The 20633-nt window shown below is 40.3% G+C and overlaps 1 long non-coding RNA gene across 1 annotated transcript in view; it reads left to right on the top strand.

Moving 5' to 3' along the window:
- Positions 1 to 20633, top strand: part of EOLA2-DT (EOLA2 divergent transcript) — a 78240-nt gene that overhangs the window by 6598 nt on the left and 51009 nt on the right. Inside the window, exons 6-9 of the long non-coding RNA NR_027456.1 lie at positions 713 to 2202; positions 3161 to 3249; positions 15620 to 15803; positions 17438 to 17571. This is a non-coding gene — a long non-coding RNA (EOLA2 divergent transcript). The remainder of the gene's footprint in view (positions 1 to 712; positions 2203 to 3160; positions 3250 to 15619; positions 15804 to 17437; positions 17572 to 20633) is intronic.

The following is a 20633-nucleotide window of genomic DNA, read 5'->3' on the forward strand; positions in this document are numbered from 1 at the left end:
AATGAGAAGGAGAAAAGTAGGAAGAAGAAGAGAGAAGAGGAGAGGATGAGGAGGAGGAGAGGAGAAGGAGAGCAGGAGGTGGGAGGAGGAGGAGAGTAAGAGGAGGAAATGAGGAGGAAGAAAGGAGGACAGAAGGTGGAGAGGAGGAGGAGAGGAGGAGAAGGAAACGAGGAGGAGGACGAGGCTGCACCACCCTTATCAGGTTCCAGTTCTCGGTGCGCCCCGTTCTGCAAGACACTCTCCTGTGGTCAGCCCTGGTCTGCAGAGGATTCCCGCGCTGGATCTCTGAAGGATGCTGGCGCCCTCTCTGCAGCACATTCCTGATGCCCTTGCTGACACGTGTCCTCTGGGCCCTCTCCTGAAACCTGATTCTCCGGGGTGTCTTCTGGCCTCACCTCTTCTGTCCAGTTCCAGCAAGCTCACTTTGCTTAGCCTTTGAATCCCTTCCTTCACTGTCTGCCATGACAGTTCAGGCCTTTCACCGTCACTCAGGCCTGGACCATCACTGTTGCCCATCCCATGCCATCAACAGGTTTGCCCCATCCCTTCGGCTCCCTACCAGGGCATTCAGTTGTGTTGAGCAGCAGAGTGTCTCCAAGTCCCCACTGGTTGAGCTGCATCCGGGTCCCATCCCACAGGGACCCCCTGGCCGCTGCAGATGCATGCTGATCCTGCAGCTCCTCGAGGGTGTCATCGCTTTCCCCCTTCCCAGACCCAGCACACCCTGCCTGCATGGCGCTGCGCTGCACCTTCACTCTGGTCACGGGTCTGGCAGTCAGCTCACCAATTCCTCCTGCTTCCCTGGGACTTGCCGGCTTTTAGCACTGCAATTCACTCAGCAAACTGGGACTGTTGGTCACCCTACCTGGCAGCCAGTGATAAGGTGAGGGCCACTCCTGGGAGGGAGGACACCTGTGGGGAAAATTCTTGTGTTATTTATTTCTCCTTCGGGATAGGGTGCCTGCAGCGCTTCATGGGAGGGGGTGGGCTGATGCTGCGGGCTCAGAAGTTTCAAGGGCATCTGGGGAGACCAGATATTCAGAGACCTTCTAGATGTGCCTGTTCCATGTATCAGGGACGCAGGTTTTCCCAACAGGGCTGGTGTCATTGGCATGACAGACCTGCCTTGGCTGAGCGTTCACCTGTCTTTGGAGTTCAGCCACCTTAGCAAGTCCTGGGTTTGTTCTTCAGACTTTGCTGCTCGCCCATTGCCTGGATCGGGGGCTACTTTGTAAACCACCAGGAAGACTCCAGTGTTTCTGGTTAATTTTTAGATGTTTGTTAATTGCTCTTGGTCTCTCATTAATCCCCTGTGGGTCATCCAGGAAACATACTCACCACTGTCTGTTCTCTGAGTTTTCATTTCCAGGCATCCGCCCTGCCTGGATCTCCTCACCTGCCAGGAACTTCCTCTCCACAAGCCGGCCATCCCAGCAAAAGTTCTAACACCAAAGGTCTGGCAACTAGCCTGCCATCTTGTGCCTGGAGCCGCCTGCGTGCCACCTACTCCCGAAGATGGGAACCTTGTTGCCAGTTGGGCAGATGCGGGGCAATCCTGTACCAAGACCCCATTTTACCACCTGCTTTCTCAGACCACTCTGGAACCCACTGTCTCAGATTGTGTCCTCCAGGAAGCAGACCATGAGAGGGAGTTGGCAGGGCCAAAGATTTACTGGGGCTAACTAACACTCAGGAAAGGGATAGGAAGGAAACAGGGCTGGAGAGCAGGTTGAGCCCGACCTGACAGTCTCGAGCAGCCCAACAGGGAGGTGTGGAGCAAGGGTTGCCCACTAGAGGGGCCTGCATTGGGTACGGGTGATGGGGTCCACATGGTACCTGGCATATAGCAGGCTGTGCAATCCATATTAACTGACTGGATAAATTAATGCCCAGAAAAGGTGCCCTGGAGAATGGGTGTGTGCTGAACACAATAGGGAAGGGCCCAGCATCTGCCTTGGCATAGGCAGAACTGTGCTGTGCCCTGCAACAGGCCACCTGAGAGCTGCTTTGATCTTGTGTGTACATTAGATGACTGCCAGGGGCATGAAGGGGATGTGCTTCCAGGGCATTTGCTGGCAGGGCGTCTCGTGATCTCTTGGTATTGGTGTGAGCACAGCCTGGCAGGAGAGGGCAGATCTCCATGCAAAGTATGTCAGAAAGCAGATGGAAGCCAGGCCCCCTCCTGAAAGAGGCTCCTTGAAGGTAGGTGCACACTCATGTCTTTGTTACTTGTAAGGGGGCATCTTACAGGCAAGAGGAGTTAGGTGAATGTGAAGAGGAAGGAACTACTCTGGGCAGGGGGCTGGGGGACGCTTCGTAGAGGAGGGGGTGTTTGAGCTGGGCCTTGAAGGTCAAAAGGGTTTTGTTAGGTGGGAAATGGGGGAAGGACAGTCTGAAAGGGTTAGGTACATTCAAGGAGCCCAGAGAAGGTTCGTGGCTGGAGCAGACGCATTCGTAGAGTGAAGTCATGGGAGAGAAGAGGCTGGGAAACTAGATTGGTTCCAACTCCTAAAGGACCACTGAAGGAGTGTGGGCTGCACGCTGGGTGCAGCAGGTGAGTTTCCTCACTTGGGTTTCACTGTCAGCATTTTAAAAAGGCAAACTGGTTTTCTTCCTGAGAAGAATTCATTGATTCACTTGTGGCCAGTAAGTCATCTGGGCCAGAGGTTGGTGGGGAGATGATAGGGGTGCAAGTGTCATCTTCAATCACAGCATAACTGCCCTTGCTTTCTTACCTCTCGTTTAGATATTTCAATGCTTGCTCAGGTCCCCTGCGCCCTCCTTCCTTCTCCCTTCCCAGCCATACTACTTATGGGATGACTTTCTCTTTGTAAAATGACCGTTAGTCTTATCAAATTAATCCCAAAGTAATACCATCAATTTCCCCCTAAAATACCAACAAGACCCCTGCTTGAAACTGCTTGTACATTAGAGACAGAGAAGAGTCCATGAGAATCAACATTTTCTGAGGACTCCAACTGTGTGCCAAGAGAGTTCCCCTGCTGGTGCCTCCTCTGTAGTAAAGGAAAGGTAACATTCCTGCAAGGCTTTGAAGCTTACAGCGTGCTTGCCCTTAGATTCTTGTGTTGTGTTCTGGGTCAGCAGGAATGCCTCGCCAGGTCCTTTTTCTCATCCTAATGTGACACTGAATTCTTCACAGGCTCCTGGGACCACATTATCATTCTCTTCACTCGAGAGATGAGGACACTGAAATTCAGAGAGGGGAAGTGATTTGCCTCAGCTTGTACTGTAAGTGATCAAGGCAGGACTCAACCAGTCTTTTTGACCCTGACTATGGTGATTTGATCTCTACACCACAAGATGGTGGTGGAATGGTGGAATATGGTAACTAGAAGGCCCTTTCTAGCTCAGGACACATTTGATGCTGTGACTGTTTGGGAATTCAGTCCTGACCAATTTAAGAGGTTGTGTTTCTTAGCTGTCTCTGGCTCCTGGTTTGCCCAGTTTGATTCTGTGCCTGCCTAGCAAAACCTCTCTGTCTGTGGTCTAAGAAGCCTGACATCTCTGAACTAGTCCTCTTCCTGTCCACTCAATATCGACAGAATCTCATGGTATGTCCTCCTGGCTCAGCCATGGAATAAAGCCAGCTCTGTTGTTTTTGTCCTTGTGTTGTGCCCCAGCTTAGGAAGAATAACTCTTCAGGCTGCCTCTCCCATGCTAGGTCACATGCAGGTCACACATTCCCAGGTAAATTTTGCACTTTGTTTATCTGGAATTTGTCTTAATTTCCTTGTCCTTGTTTCTGATTGTGTACTCTCTTCCCTTCTGTCTCATTATCTGGGCCCTATGTCTTTTCTCATGGTTTCTCTTCTGTAAGTCTCTAGACCCGATGCAAGTACACAGTGAAGTGAATGAAGTTAAAGATAAAGCTTCAGTGTCTCTTGCTTGAACAGCCCTGGAAGGAGCCCTAGCATTATGGTCCTACAGTTGTATGGTTTGGAAAATCTACAAAAGATATTTTAACCACAGTTGGTTCAGGGAATCTTTCTTTCCACTATGCTGTCTCTATCCCTCTTGCCTGTGTGTTGGGTAGCAATGCAATGACCATGGTCATATTGAGAATTCAACTAAGGGGACATTAAGTTGGGATTCATTTAGTTTAGGATATATTTTTGAGATATCTTTCAGGAGTCCACAGGCAATTCCATATATTTCCCAGTTTTTGCCAGCTGCCCTTTATTGGAATAGCTTGCAGGAATACTTCTGCTCACTGTGCTGATGCATCCAGTGTTAGGACAAGAGGGGTGAGGCTGAAGGGTACATTGTAATGTCACTGTGACCTGCAGCACTTGGCATCAGGGGTATGTTGGCAGTGGAGGAGAACCAAGATTCACAATGTACAGCACCAGAAGCTAGTCTGTGGAAAAATCTTCCAGTCATCAATCAGATGTGTAAAATTGTAAGTGAAGGATTCCATTTTCACTGAAAAGCAAAAGTGCTCTCTTGTCAGAAATATACCCAGCGTGCAGTGTACGCAATTGTAAATACAAGATACATTTATTTGCACATTTGGAAGGGGATTTTGTGAAATGGCATTTTTCAGAATTCCTGTGATTGTAGGACATGGACCTGTAGAAGGACTAGAAACATTGAGTAGTATGCAGAAGAGTTTTGCTGGGCAGGCACAGAATTAAACTGCGCAAACCAGGAGCCAGAGACAGCTAAGAAACACAACCTCTTAAATTGGTCGGGACTGAATTCCCAAACAGTCACAGCATCAAATGTGTCCTGAGCTAGAAAGGGCACAGTCATAGTTCCTGTGACTGCTACCCTTAGAAAGACCTGCTTGGAAGTTACGCTCCCTGCTGGCATCTGGAAACTTGACTCTCAGAATTTCCCTAGTCAACAGTTAACTGATAAGATGGCTCACTGTGCCTTGACTGTTGATACAGAAAACGTAGTTTATGCTGAATATCTGCTTTCCTTCTGGGAGTCTGGAATTTTGGTGCATGCTAGGCAGAGGAAGTCTCTGTTACCAAACACCAGTGTAAAGTGTGGGCAATGAGTCTGGGCTTCTCTGGCCAGAAACATCACACGTGCCACTGCATATTTGTTGCCGAGAGAAGCATGTGCTCTGTGTGGCCCCTCATGGGAGGGAGAGAGCATAAGGAAGTCTGTGCATGGGCTCCTCCAAACTTTGCCTGTCTTTTCTGCTTGTGATCTGGCTGTGTGCCCTAACTACATTGCTGTAATAAATCTTGGTTGTGATTATAACTATATGCTGAATCCTGTGTTTCCAACTATAACAAACAAGAAAAGCAGGAATAACATACTATAGAAGTGCATGAGGCAGTTAAGTACTAAAGATAAGTAGCTATTTATGTTATTTTTTTCTAAATTTTCAGATGTTTCTAACATTTGTCAACGTTTTCAAATGTGTGTTCTTTTGTTTTTTTTTTCTCACTTTAAATATTTGCTTTTGTTCCCAATTTTATACTGGTAATTTTGCATTCTTATACTTAAAGAAGGCCCCAGATGTTACAAGCTTCAAGCCCCACAAAACCTGGATCTGTCTCTGTCTTGGATCCAAGACTTGCTGCCTCATGTTGGTTTTCCTGTTGTCACTTCATATTACACAGATGGGGAAATTAAAGCCAAGAGAGGGGAAGCTAACCTTACTTGGCAAAACTGGGACAGGATCCAGTTCTTCCAATTCCCAGTTTAATGAGTGCTCTTTCCCCCTATTCTGTAAAGTTTTTTGGTAACTTGTCTGTAAATATCGGTCATGGTACATTGTCCACTGGGTGGCACTCAAGAGATTGAAATTTGAGTTCCTTCTCTTTGAGTAGTTGGGTAGTCTTGAACTAGTCCCTTTCCCTCCTGGGACAGATTTTCCCAGTTTGTAAAATAAAGGGGCTGGATTTAGTGCTCTTTATAGACCTTTCTCTCTCAGATATTTCCTGAGTTTTTCATTCTAGAAATGCTGGAATCATATATTTGTAACTGAAACTAGTAATCTTCTTGTTCTTGAGTCTTCTTCATCTCTAAAGTGGACATAAAATACATACCTCTCGTGGTTGTTGTGAAGCCCGTGGCACTATTCATGGTAGAGCAGGTGATCAAAAGTCGCTTGCATCCTTCTGTCCAATTGGGAACAAAAGCTTTCATGTATAATTCTCACACCTCTCCCTTGGAATCAGACAATCTTATCAGAAAACCTAAAAATTTTTTTCAATCAATTTAGAAGTTTATTTTGCCAAGGCTAAGGACATGCCTGTGACACTGCCTAAGAAGGTCCTGGTGACATGCCCAAGGTGGTCAGGCCACAGTTTGGTTTTTAGGGAGATATAAGACATCAACTGATACATGTGAGATGTACATTCGTTTGGTCTGGAAAAGCAGGACAAATGGAAGTTGGAGGACTTCCAGGTCATAGGCAGGTTCAGAAATTTTCTGACTGGTATTAATAATTGGTTGAGTTATTATCTAAAGACCTGGAATCATTAGAAGGGAATGTCTGGTTTACGATAAGGAGTTGTGGAGACCACAGTTTTATCATGCAGATGAAACCTCCAGGTAGCAGGCTTCAGAGAGAATAGATTGTAAATGTTTCTTATTAGACTTAAAGAGTCTATTGTATCAGTCTTAAGGACAGTGTTCATGTTGATGGTAATGAGGCATGTCCGACTCCCCCTTCCTCATCATGTCCTGAACTAGTTTTTCAGGTTAACTTTGGAATGCCCTTGGCCAAGAGGAGGGGTCCATTCAGGTGGTTGGGGAGCTTAGAATTTTATTTTTGGTTTACATTCTTTCCTTCTGGCCAGGATTTGCCAGAGGCAACATCAATGGACAAACTTTTATTTTGTCCCATAGCATTGTGGAGGTGGTTTGGCTGCCTGCCCCAGGTCCATCCTGTCCCTTGGTAGGATCTCTATGGCCAAGAGACTTACAGCCAAAAGACTTATAGACAGTTTAAATGTTCTAGGCCAGACAGGAATGGACGTGGACAGGCATTTATTACTCCTTAACAATTTTGAAGTAATGTAAAAGCCAACAAACAGAAAGTAAAAGGCGAGGTTACAAAATTGCCTTATCTATCTTTAACTTCTATGCATTGAGCTACTGTAGTCTTGGTTTTAGTTACAGATTTTTAGCAATTGGCTATATAAGCAAGCCTAAATTTTAAAAAGAAGAGAAAATGAAGCATACATTTAAAAGTTCTTAAACTTTTTTTTTGAAACAGGGTTTCACTTTGTCACTCAGGCTGGAGTGCAGTGATGTGATCATAGCTTTCTGCAGCCTTGACTTCCGGGCTCAAGTGATCCTCCCACCTCCGCCTCCTTAGTAGCTAGGACCACAGGCATGCACCAGCACACCCAGCAAATTAAAAAAAAATTTTTTTTAAAGATGAGATCTCACTATGTTGCCCAGGCTGGTCTGAAATTCCTGTCCTCAAGCAATCCTCCTGCCTTAGCCTCCCAAAGTGCTGAGATTACAGGCATGAGCTACCATGCCTGGCCTAAAACATTTTTAATGGAAGTATAATTTGCAAACAGAAAACATGCCCAAATATTAAGTGAATGCACTGATGAACATTCACAACTTAACAAGATAGCCAGCACTTAAATCACAAAATAGAACACCGCTAGGACCTCTTTGTAATACCCTCCAAGTCACTACTTCTGCCCAAAGGTAATCGCTATTTTGCAACATTTTTTATTACTTTATATAAATGAGATCGTACACTGCGTAATCTTATTACTGTCTGGATTTTTATATTAAATATTGCTTGTGAGATTCATCCATGTTGTCATGTCAGCAATACTTTATTCTCATTGCCATATACTATTCCATTTTTATCAGTATACCATGATATATTTACCCATTCTGCTATTTGTACATACTGGAATTGTTCCCAGGTTTTTGTAATACAAGCAAAGCTGCTATGAACATGCTTGGATTTACTTTCTTTGGTGAATATGTATTACTGTTATGTACATGTCTAGAGGTAAAATTGATGATTTATGGGATATGCATATGTTTAATTTTAGCAGATATTGAAAAACAGATTTTTAAAGCGGCTGTAGCAATTTACATTACCACCAGCAATGTGTGAGTTCCATTTGCTCTCCGTCCTTGACAGCACATGTTGTCACTTAGGTGGGTATGCAGGGGGATCCTTTTTTGGCATGTTTACTTATTTTTTTACACAGTGCAAACTGGTGTGGTGTACCGTTTTATGGCTTTTGCCTAATGCCATCACTAAAGTTACCAAACAATTCCATCACCTCAGAAATTGCTTTGTACCGCCTCTTGGCATTCATCCCCTTCTCCATTCTCAACCCTGGCAGCCACTGATCTAATTTCCATTCCCATAGTTTTCCAGATTATCAAAGAAACAGAATGATATGGTTGTAACCTTTTGGATGTAGCTTCTTTCAGGTAGCAAAATGCTTTTGAGATTTAACTATGTTGTTGTGTTTTCAGTAGTTCATTCCTTTGTGTGTGTGTGTGATAGTCTGACTCTCTTGCCCAGGCTGGAGTGCAGTGGTGTGATCTCAGCCCACTGCAACCCCTGCCTCCCACATTCAAGGGATTCTCATGCCTCAACCTCCCAAGTAGCTGGAACTACAGGCGTGCACCATTGCGCCTGGCTAATTTTTATATTTTTAGTAGAGACAAGGTTTCGCCATGTTGACCAGGCTGGTCTCGAACTCCTGGCCTCAAGTGATGCACCTGCCTCTGCCTCCCAAAGTGCTGGGATGACAGGCGTGAGCCACTGCACCCAGTCCAGAAGTTCATTGCTTTTTATTGCTGGGTCATATTCCATTGTATAGATGTATCACATTTTGTTTATGAGTCCTATAGTTGAGGGATACTTGGTTTGTTTCCATTTTTTCTCTATTATGGATACATTGTTATAAACATTTGTGTACAGGGTTTGTGTGAACATAGTTTTTATTTCTTTTGAGTAAATAGGAGTGGGATTGCTGGGTTACTTGGTAAATTGCTGGGTTATAGTTCTTTTTGAGAACTTGTCAAACTTTTGCTGAGTGGCTATACCATTTTGCATTCCCACTAGGAGGGCTTGAGAGTTCCAGTTGTTCCACATTCTTGCCAGCACCTGGTACTGCTAGTTTTTCTGTGTGTGTTTTTGTTTTGTTTTGCCACTCTAAGGTGTATAGTGGTATCTCTTTCTGGTTATAATTTGCATTTCTCTAATGATTATTAATGTTGAACATCTTTTAACATGCTTATTTGCCATCCATCTAACTTCTGTGGTAAATTTTCTGTTTATATTCTCGTCCATTCAAAATATTGGGTTGCTTGTTTTCTTATGGTTAATTTTAAAAGCTTTATTTGGAAATAATTATAGATTTAAAGGAAGTTGCAAAGAATTGTATTCCCTTCACTCACCCTTCCCCAATGTTAACATCTTGCCTAACTATGGTACAATATTAGTATCAGAAAATTGACATTGGTACAATCCACAGAGGTTATTCAGATTTTACCAGTTATACATATACTTGTGTGTGTGTGTTTCTATGCAATTTTATCACATGTATAGTTTTGTGTAGCTTCCACGACAATCAACATACAGAACTGTGCCATCACCGCAACATTCCTCTCATATTACCTCTCCACAGCCTCACCCACTTCCTACTCTACATCCCTTACCCTTATCAACCACTATTTGGTTTACCATCTGTATAATGTTGTTATTCCAAGGATGTTATATACATGGAAGCATACTATATAGTATGTTTCCTTTTCATATTTGCTTTTTTTCCCACTCAGCATAATTCCTGGAGGTTCCTTCAAGTTGTGACATGTATCAATAGTTCATTCCTTTTTATTGCTGGATAGTATTTCATAGTATGGATGTACTATAATTTAAGCATTGTCAATTTTGGTAGTTTCCACTTTGAGCTATTCCAAATAAAGTTTCTGTGAATATTCATATACAAGTTTCTACATTAACATAAGTTTTCATTTCTCTGGGGTGAATGCCCAAGAGTGCCATTGCTGGGTCATTTGGTAAATATATTTTTTTGTTTTTCTGAGATGGAGTCTTGTTCTGTTGCCAGGCTGGAGTGCTGTGGTGCATTCTCGGCTCACTGCAACCTCCAACTCCCTGGTTCAAGCGATTCTCCTGCCTCAGCCTCCTGAGTAGCTGGGATTACAGGCATGCGCCACCATGCCCAGCTAATTTTTGTATTTTTAGTAGTGACAGGGTTTCACCATGTTCGCCAGGATGGTCTTGAATTCCTGACCTCATAATCTGCCTGCCTTGGCCTCCTAAAGTGCTGGGATTACAGGCGTGAGCCACTGTGCCTGGCCAATCCATTTTTAGTGTTTAAAGAAACTGCAAACCACCATGGCACATGTATACCTATGTAACTAACCTGCACATTCTGCACATGTACCCCAGAATTTAAAGTATAATAAATAATAATACTAATTTTTTTTTTAAAAAAAGAAACTGCCAAACTATTTTCCAGAGTGATTGTGCAGTTTTACATTTTGACCAGCGATGTCAGTGATCCATTTGCTCCACATCTTCATTAGCATTTGGTGTTGTCACAGTGTTTTATTTTAGCCACTTTGATAGGTTTCTAGCAATATCTCATTGTGGTTTTAATTTGCATTTTCCTGAGGGCTAATGATATTGAACATCTTTTCATGTGCTTATTTGGCATCTGTGTATCCTTTTCAGTTAAATGTCTTTTGCCTCTTTTCTAATTGGATTTTTTTTTTAATGTTGAGTTTTGAGAGTTCTTTATATATTCCAGATATAAGTCCTTTGTGGGATATATAATTTGCAAATTTTTCTCTCAGTTTGTAATTTGTCTTTTTTCATCTCCTTGAAAGAGTTTTTCACAGAGCAAAGTTTTTAAATTTGATGAGGTATAATTTTCAATTTTTACTTTTATGGGTCATGCTTTTGATGCCAAATGTAAGAACTCCTCACCTAATCTTATGTCTGAAGATTTTCTCTTGTGTTTTTTTGAAAAGTTTTACATTTTTACATTTCACACTATGTTCCATTTTGAGTTAAAGTTTGAGATTTAAGTCAAGGCTCATTTTTCTTTTTCTTTCTTTCCCCCCCTCCGCCATGTATGTCCAGTTGCTTCAACACCACTTGTTGAAAAAACTCTGCCTCTTCCTTTGAATTGGTTTTGCACCTTTTTCAAAAATCAATTGGGCATCTTTGCGTGGATCTATTTCTGTCTCTGATACTCTTTTTCGTCTCTTTTTAAGAGTCAGTGTCTCACTCCATGCCCAGGCTGGAGTGCAGTGATGCAATCATGGCTTACTCCTAGGCTTAAGCAATTCTCCTGCCTCAGCCTTCTGAGTAGCTGGGACTACAGGTGTGTGCCACCATATGCAGCTTTTTTTATTATTATTATTTTTTGTAGAGACAGAGTCTCACTCTGTTGCCCAGGCTAGTCTCAAACTCCTGGCCTCAAGTGATCCTTCCACCTTGGCCTCCCAAAGTATATGTTTGCTATTCTGTTCTGTTGTTCTATGTGTCTATACCTCCTTCAGTACCATACTGTGTGGATCATTATTACTGTTGAATTTTGAGGGTTTTTTTTTTATTCTGGATACAAGTTCTTCTTCAGATTTATGATTTGCAAATATTCTTTTCCAGTCTGTGGTTAGTCTTTTTATTCTCTTAAGAGTGCTCTTTACAAATATCTTTCTTTTATTAATTTCCAATATCGCCTGATAACGTTCTTTTTTTTTTTTTTTTTTTAGACACAGTCTCACTCTGTCACCCAGGCTGGAGTGCAGTGATGCAATCTTGGCTCACTGCAACCTCTGTCTCCCAGGTTCAAGCGATTCTCATGCCTCAGCCTCCCAAGTAGCTGGAATCACAGGCATGCACTAGCATGCCCAGCTAATTTTTGTATTTTTAGTGGAGACAGGGTTTCTCCGTGTTGGCCAGGCTGGTCTTGATCTCCTGACCTCAAGCAATCTGCCCGCCTTGGCCTCCCAGAGTGCTGGGATTACAGACGTGAGCCACCACGCCCAGCTCCTGAGAATATACTTTTAATGATTTCAGTTCTTTTAAATTTGTTGAGTTTTTTTATGGCCCACAGCATGGTTGATCTCTATGAACATTCCATGTGCTGCTGAAAAACGTGCATTGGATGTAGTTTTAAAAATACGTATCAGTTAAGTCAAGGTGAATAGTAGTGCTGTTTAAGTAATTTATGTCATCACTAATTTTCTGCCTACATTTTCCTGCAGTTACTAAGAGAGAAGTGTTAAAGTTTCCCATTATAATTGTGTATTTGTCATTTTATTTTTTCAGTAGTGTCACAGTTTGTCTAATATATTTTAAGCTCTGTTAAGTACATGCACATTTATACTTTTTATATCTAATTGGAGAATTGACCTCTTTATTATTGTGTAATATCTCAATTTCTGACAACATTCTTTGTTCTGAAGTTTACTTTGTCTGATATTACTATAGCTACTTCTGCACAATATTTTACTTCTAGTAATATTTTAGATCAGATAATTTATTTCTTTTTAGCACTCTTGATTTGTTTGTGAAGATTTATGTTTCCATCTAATATATTCCTTCGGTATAAAAAAACCTCTTAAAGATTTCTTGTAGTGTAGGAATACTGGCTAGGATTTCCATCATTATTTTTGTTTTCCTGAGAAAGTCCTTATTTCTCCCTCATTTTAAAAATCAGCCTTATGGTGATAAAATTTACATACCATAAATTCACCCTTTTAAGTGTACAATTCAGTAACTTTTAGTGAATTTACAGTTATGTAACCACTAACATAATCTACTCTTAAAACATTGCCATCACCTCTGAAGATCCTTCATGCCAGTTTGTAGTCAGTCACCTTCCTATCCCCAACCCTGGCAACCACTAATTTACTTTTTGTTATTGTAGATTTCCTGTCTTTGGAATTTCCTATAAATAGAATCACACAATATCTAGTCTTTTGTATCTGGCTTCTTTCACTTAGCATAATGTTTTTGAGGCTCGTCAATGTTGTAGCATATATCAGTATTTTGTTCCTTTGTTTTGCTGGCTAGTATTTCATTGTATGGATGTATCATATTTTGTTTATCTGTTTAATAGTTGATAAACATTTGGATTGTTTTCACTTTTTGGCTATTGCGAATAATTCAGTCATGAGCATACTTACAAGTCTTTGTGTGAACATAGGTTTTCATTTTATTTATTGCCTAGGTGTTGAATTGCTGGTTCACATGGTAAATTTATATTTAGCATTTGAAAGAATTAATGGCCAAACTGTTTTCCAGAGTGGCTCCATCAGTTAATATTCACACCAGCAATGTCATCTTCTTTATTTTTTAATTTATTATTATTTCAATTGTTTTTTGGGGAACAGGTGGTATTTGGTTACATGGAAAAGTTCTTTCGTGGTGATTTCTGAGATTTTGGTGCACCCATCATACAAGCAGTATACACTGTACCCAATGTGTAGTCTTTTATCCCTCACACCCCTCCCACCCTTACCCATGAGTCCTGAGTCCATTATATCATTCTTATGCCTTTATGTCCTCATAACTTAGCTCCCACTTATAAGTGAGAACATATAATGTTTGGCTTTTCATTCCTGAGTTACTCACTTAGAATAATGGTCTCCAACTCCATGGAGGTTGGTGCAAATGCCATTATTTCATTCCTTTTTATGGCCAAATCGTATTCCATGGTGTATGTGGGAGATATATATATATATAGATATAGATATATATCTCACATTTTCTTTATTCACTCATTAGTTGATGGGCATTTAGGCTGGTTCTATATTTTTGCAATTGCAAATTGTGCTGCTATGAACATGCATGTACAAGTGTCTTTTTCATATAATGACTTCTTTACCTCTGGGTAGATACCCAGTAGTGATTGCTGGATCAAACGGTAGATCTACTTTTAGTGCTTTAAGGAGTCTCCATACTGTTTTCTGTAGTGGTTATAGTAGTTTACATTCCCACCAGCACTGTAAAAGTGTTCCCTTTTCACCACATCCACACCAACATCTATTATTTTTTAATTTTTAAATTATGGCCATTCTTGCAGGAATTGTGTGTGGTTTTGCCTGGCTTATGATCTGGGAAACTTGCATCCTCCTGTTAGTATGTCTAGTTAGCTCTGAGAAGTGGCTTGGTTTAATCTAGACCTCCTTTTCTAAACACGTAGAAATTCCTAGGGAAAATGAAATGTTGTTCTATCACTCCAAGGTTTCTTTGGGGTCTTTTAAGGGATAGGTTCCTCTTCTGAAAGCTCAAAGTCACCCGTGATTCTGGGTAAGAGCAGGAGTAGGTTAACCTAAGCAGTTGCTCAATAGGTTCATGCCTGTAATCCCAGCACTTTGGGAGGCCAAGGCAGGCAGATCACTTGAGGTCAGGGGTTCGAGACCAGCCTGGCCAACATGATGAAACCCCCATCTCTACTAAAAATATAAAAGTTAGCCGGGCGTGGTGGCAGGTGCCTGTAATCCCAGCTACTCGGGAGGCTGAGGCAGGAGAATCGCTTGAACTCGGGAGGTGGAGGTTATAGTGAGCCAAGATCGAACCACTGCACTCCAGCCTGGGCAACAGAGTGAGACTGTGTCTCAAAAAAAAAAAAAAAAAAAAGCACAAAGGACTGTTCAGTACTTTTACATTAGCTAAGAACTAATTTACGCTAACTTCTTTTTTATATGCAAAAGATAGTCATAGGATCTTAATAAGTTGTGTAATCATGTTATTTGAGATTGTATACTATATGTAGCTCATGTCACATTAGTTATTTTCACCTAAGGATACCTTAACATTAGGCCTACAGAAAATTAATATAATACCTTTGTTCTCTGCAAAAGGCTACAACAAGTGATCTCTAGAGGTGTTTTCTGACTCTCAAATCTCTAACTCTTGGATTCTGCCTCATCCAGAAAGGTTTGGGTTACCAAAGCAAAGTACCATAAACTGGATGACTTGAAAACAACAGAAATTTATTTTTCATAGTTCTGGAGGCTGGAAGTCTTAGATCTGGGTGCTAATATGAGTTCTGGTGAGGACCCTCTTTGGGGTTGCAGATGGCCATCTTCTTGCTGTGTGTTCTCACACAGAAGAAAGAGAGTGAGCTAGCTCTCTGGCCTGTTCTTATAAGGGTACTTATCTCATTTAGGATGGTCCCACCCTCATGATCTAATCACCTTCCAAAGGACCCATTTCCTAATACCATCACCTTAGGGGTCAGGATTTCAACATATAAATTTTGCGGGGACACATTCAATCCATAACAGATTCTTTCCTGTTATTATTTTAGAATGACATGGACTCTTTCCCAGTCCATTTGGGTTAGGATTCTTATTCAGCCTGGAGGCAGAGCCGTACCCTGTATGGCCTATCACATTCCTTTTAGCCTGGGTCTCTGGTTACTTGTAGAACCCTTATTTATAATTATTGTCTAATGCTGGGATTCTCCAGAGTGCTGCTTGGAGAAATTTAGCCTCTTAGAGACAGTTGCAATAAAAGAATTCTATCAAAAAGAATTCACTGAATTGTGATCACAAACAAAATAACTTTGTGGGGATAAAATGTACTCCAACAAGGGAGGCTTATGTTTGTTTTTCAGCCTCTCCTCCCAGTGCTGCACTTCTAATCTCTCTGCAGAAAGAAACATTTCAACAGAGAACCCAGTGGAAATTATGACATGTTATCTTCTCAGAGTCCTGAACTCCCATCCCTACCTCAGAAGAGACTCCTCTGTTCACAGAAGCTAAAGGCAGTTCCTTCCCAATGGCAACTATGTTTGGATGTTGGATCTACACTTTCTCAAGCACTGTGATCTTCAAATGTAAGTTTAGTAACATAAATATCTTTTTGCAGCCTGAAAGAATTTTATGTCTCTGTGTTATCAGGTAATGTTTCAGTATCTCATATTTTGCTGGTAACATTTAGAATGTTAATCTCATAAGGAGATTTTAGAGTTATAGTTAAATTTCTTTATCTGGGTTAGATGGGAATCCTTTATTCTGGGGAAAGCAAAGTTCTTTCTATAAGCCTGGGTTCTCATAATATACAGACTGGGAAACTTGGGAAAGAGTAGGAGCATCATTAGTTTCATTTTATAGGTGGGAATAACAAAGCATGGAGAGACAAACATATTTGCCAAAATAGTTATTCTCAACTCCTTGTTTTGGGAATTCTAGAGTGTTTCATAGGATTTCAAAGTACCTCACAAAATTGTTCTAAATTTCTCAAAGCCAAATTCATTTTAATTAACTTTAATTTTTTTTGAAAAGTTATAGCATTCTTGGGGGTAGGATAGGTACATTTTATAAAAACAATACAAACAATTGTTTTGCTTAGAACCAGTGAAATGTCAAAACTCCAAAAATGTTTGGGAAGCACTGGATTAGTCAGTAGCATAACAAGCAATAAAACAACCCAGGTCAGGTGCAGAGAGATATAAACTCTTGTCTCATCCTCCATAGATCTGTATTTTCAAAGGCAGAGTCTTGTGTGACTGCATGTCTGAGGATATGTCTCTTCTGGACAGGGTTTTTACAGTACTTGAGAATGATCCTAACAACCTTTTGGGGTGACTCAATTTTTTTCACTGCTAGAGAGGTAAAACAAATATTGATACAGTTGAACAGTGAGAAATTGAGTTTGGCTGGAGCACAGGCACATAATGGTAGAATTATGAGCCTGTGCTAGGCTGTGTGGGTTTGGCCAAATTGGGTCAAGTGAAAACAGAAAGATCAGTTAGAAACTTGCAATAGTTTCGATAAAAGATGTTATGGCGGTTGTCCAACTTTATTGTGAACTCTCTTATTGTACTAGTGTTTAAAAGCAGATAAGCTGTTACCTCTTGAATCCCACAGGCTGTCTAGTTATACTGGTCAGGATCTCTTCCAGCTCAATTTTTTAAAAAATCCTTTGCCTTGACTTCCAAAGGCACCTGTTAAGAGTGGACTTCTCAAGCTGTGTAAAGTACTTTTGGCATAATCAAGTCTATGTTGTTCCATGAAGCTCTAAGTCCAGAGTAACTGTCTTTAGTTGATCATATTGAAAGCAAGAACATCATTTCAAACAAACCAAGTCTGAGATATTTAACCCACATGTGCTTTCAGACCTGGTATGTATGAGCTTGAGCAATGAAGCCTTATTCCATTTTGATGTTATAAAAAATGGAGGGATTTCCCTGCAGTCAGTTTCACAGCCACTATTTGACTTATATTTGAAGGGGGAAAGATAAGGGCTGTGTTCTTTTGATCTGAATTTTTCTGTTCTTAAAAGTTTTCTTTTCTAAGAACACTAGTCAGTACCTGGAGACACTCCGACATATTTAAAGAATTAATTTGCTTTATTGAAAAAAGTTGTTTCTTTAAACATTTAAATAATTACTTTTTCTTCAGTGACAAATTAGTTTGCTTTAATGAAAAAAAAGGTTTTTTTCATAACTTTCATTACATGAACCTTTAGCAAAGGAGATTTCTCCCATTATATACTTCTTATGATCAACAAATTCCATCATCTCCCCACTAAGAGAAAGTACTCCAAGATGATAGAATGATTTTAAAGTTATGGGACTACAACAGCAGCCACAGGAACCTTGAGTAAGTACCATGAACCCTGACCCTCAGCGTTAATTTGTAAGCCTTTGGCAGTGAGATGGAATGTCTTCCTTCAGTTTGAAACAAAGGAAACCTATTGCATCGCACGTAAATTTGTATATTGATGCTATATTGACTTTGTAGCTGCCATGCCTTCATACAGACACCTCATCCAGCCCCCACTGTTCCACTTATTGTGATGGTTTGTATATCTTTATTTCAAAGAAGATCTGTTTGAACCGTGTTTAATTTCTTCTTTGACCTGCTTTCATCACTGCCCATGCCTACCCTGGTGGCATTCTCATCCACGAGACTACCACATCCATGCCACTAGGTGGCATTCTCATCCATGAGACTACTGCACCCGTGCGCACGTCAAGAAGTAGCCAAGCCATGGGCTGGATTGTGCTTTTCCTGAGAGGATGAAAGGCTTCATGGATACATGCTAGTATCCATGTTCCTCTATTCTCAAGTCAGGCACCAAGATGATGTTTCATACCTGCCTGCCTTTCAAAGTCTCATAAATGTTCATTGAATATCCACTCTATGCAAGGCACTAGGGTAGTCACAGAGGCAAGGTTTGAGCTAAACTACAGGCCCTGCCCTCCAGGAGCTCCCGGTCTCATGGCAGGGTGCAGAAGCCAGAATAGAGGGCCATGGCATGGGAGAGAACTCTGCTGACCGGGAGCTCTGAAGGGTTAGGGGTCCATGAGCCTGATTTATGGGGTCGTTGCCATAGGATTAGGGGCTCCCTGGCATACAGTGAATGGAGAGACTAGCATTGCTGTGTTATTTCACTGAGAGGGCACCAATGTTCAGCCTCTGAGACCAGGGGAGGAAAGCAGTGGCCATGAATGTTCCCTCCCATCCCGGGGACTGACTGGGCTCCTCCCACAGTCTCAGACACAGAGGAAGAAGTGTACTCACACTGCCCCAACACCAGTGAGTGGAAATATTTATAGGTCTCTCATTTGGTTTTAATTTTTATTTTTTTATTTTTCAGAAATTAAAAAAAAAATCACACTCACAAAATTAACCATTACCCACATTCCTACCAACAAGAAGTAACCATTCTTAACCTTGTAATATGTTGGTTTCCAGATTTATGTTTATGCTTTAAAAAATTATGCAGACAACATATTAGCACATTGCCCCTTTTCTCATTTGTTTTAATCCATGTTCTTCCCATTTATACAGGAGCAATTCTTGCATTCAGTTATGGGATACTATAAATGCCTAGTATAATGGCAGCAGAGAGAATTACTATGGTTGTATACCTTTTCTCGCTCCTTGCTCCTCAAATGCCTTAGAGTTTAAAATCTATTGTGGAAAGTTTGTGAAATGCAGAACGGTGAAAATAAACAAATTACCAGTGGTTCTTTGGCTTCGGGAGAACTGTAATTGATGTTCATTTTGGTATATTTCCCTCCAGTATTTTTTCCATATGGTTTTATTTTTAAAAATTTTACCCCATATATATATACATATATATATACATACTAACTACTCACAAAATTAAAAATTAAAAAAATTAAAAATGTATAAAATGAAAGAAAAAAATTAGCCTCATTTTGTATTTACTATTTTATAATCTGCCTTTTTGCTTAATCTTCTTTGTCATTATATGTTCTTCTACCTCATGATTTTTAATAGCTGCCTAGTATTCCATTGTATAGCCATAGTTATTTCATACTTTATAATTGCTATTGCTAGACATTTAGTTGGTTTCCTTTTTTTGCTTTTATAATAATGTGTGTTCCTATACATAAATCTTGTAAATGTCTGATTTTAAAGATAAATTTCTAGCAGCAAAACTTCTTAGTTAAGAACATATACATTAAAATACACTCTTATTATATTTTTCTTTACCAAAGTAATATATGTTTATTATAGAACATGTACAAAATCACAGATATACAAAAAAAACAGCATATAAGTTACTTGTATTCTTCCCACTCAGAGACAGCCACTATTAACATTTTATTGTAACCATCCAGCCTTCTTTTCTCTGTATTCTACATGCTCTTTCATAAGCTTTTTTTATTGAATGTATTCAGAATACCTAAGTTCATTGTTCTTTTTTACCTTCACTGGTTACATGGCATTTCACTGAATGAACAAACCAGAATTTGTTTGATGAATCTTCTAATGCTGGACATTTCAGTTACTTTCTGTTTTTCTGTACTATAAACAATGCAGAGGTAAGTAGTGTGTGACTACACCTTTCCAAGTCCTTGATTGTTCCCTGTGAAGAAATTCCTAGACGTGCAACTGTTGTTTCACCTGTATGTTAATTTTTAAGGCTTTTCATGGGTATTACTAAATGTTCCTATAACAATTTTTATCTTAGAGGCAGAATATTGGTATATCCTTTTTTTCCCAAATTCTTGATATTACTATTTTGCCAATTTGACTACAAAGAATTGATTATCATATTTTAAAATTAACATTTATTTAATTACAAGTAAAACTGAACTATTTTTTTCTTTTTTGCCCAATTTTATGTTTTGGTATAGGTTTTTCCTTGTTTATTAATAGATTTAAAAAATAAATTTGAAATATTAATTTCTTGTCATTTGTTCAGGTTTTCTCCTTCAACTGATTGTTGTGATGAGTTATATGTCTAGACTTCCTGATAGTAAATTGCACTCCTGAAATAATCCCTCCTTGCTCATAATGTCTTGCCAGATTTGGCTTGCTGGCATTTCATTTAGGATTTTTGCATCTATATTCCTAAGTGACATTAGTCTTCAGTTTTCTTTCTCTGTGTATTTGTGTGGGTGTTCGTCAGGTTTTGTGATCAGGATAACTTTAATTTTATAAAATGAATGGGCTTATTCCTTCTTTTATTTTATAATGAGAACCGCTTTTAGAGCATGGAAATTACCTGTTCTTTGTAAATTAAAAAGAACTTGCTCATAAAGCTGTCTGGGCACTGTAACAATCATCAGAGGAAAATGTGTAACACCCTATTTTTCCCCACGTTTTCTACTTCTTTGTGATTCCAGTTAGCTAATTTTCCTAGAAAATTGTCCTTTTTATTGAGATTTTCAAACTCGTTACCA

The sequence above is a fragment of the Homo sapiens genome, chromosome X, assembly GCF_000001405.40.
Source record: "Homo sapiens chromosome X, GRCh38.p14 Primary Assembly".
Taxonomy (NCBI): Eukaryota; Metazoa; Chordata; class Mammalia; order Primates; family Hominidae; genus Homo; species Homo sapiens.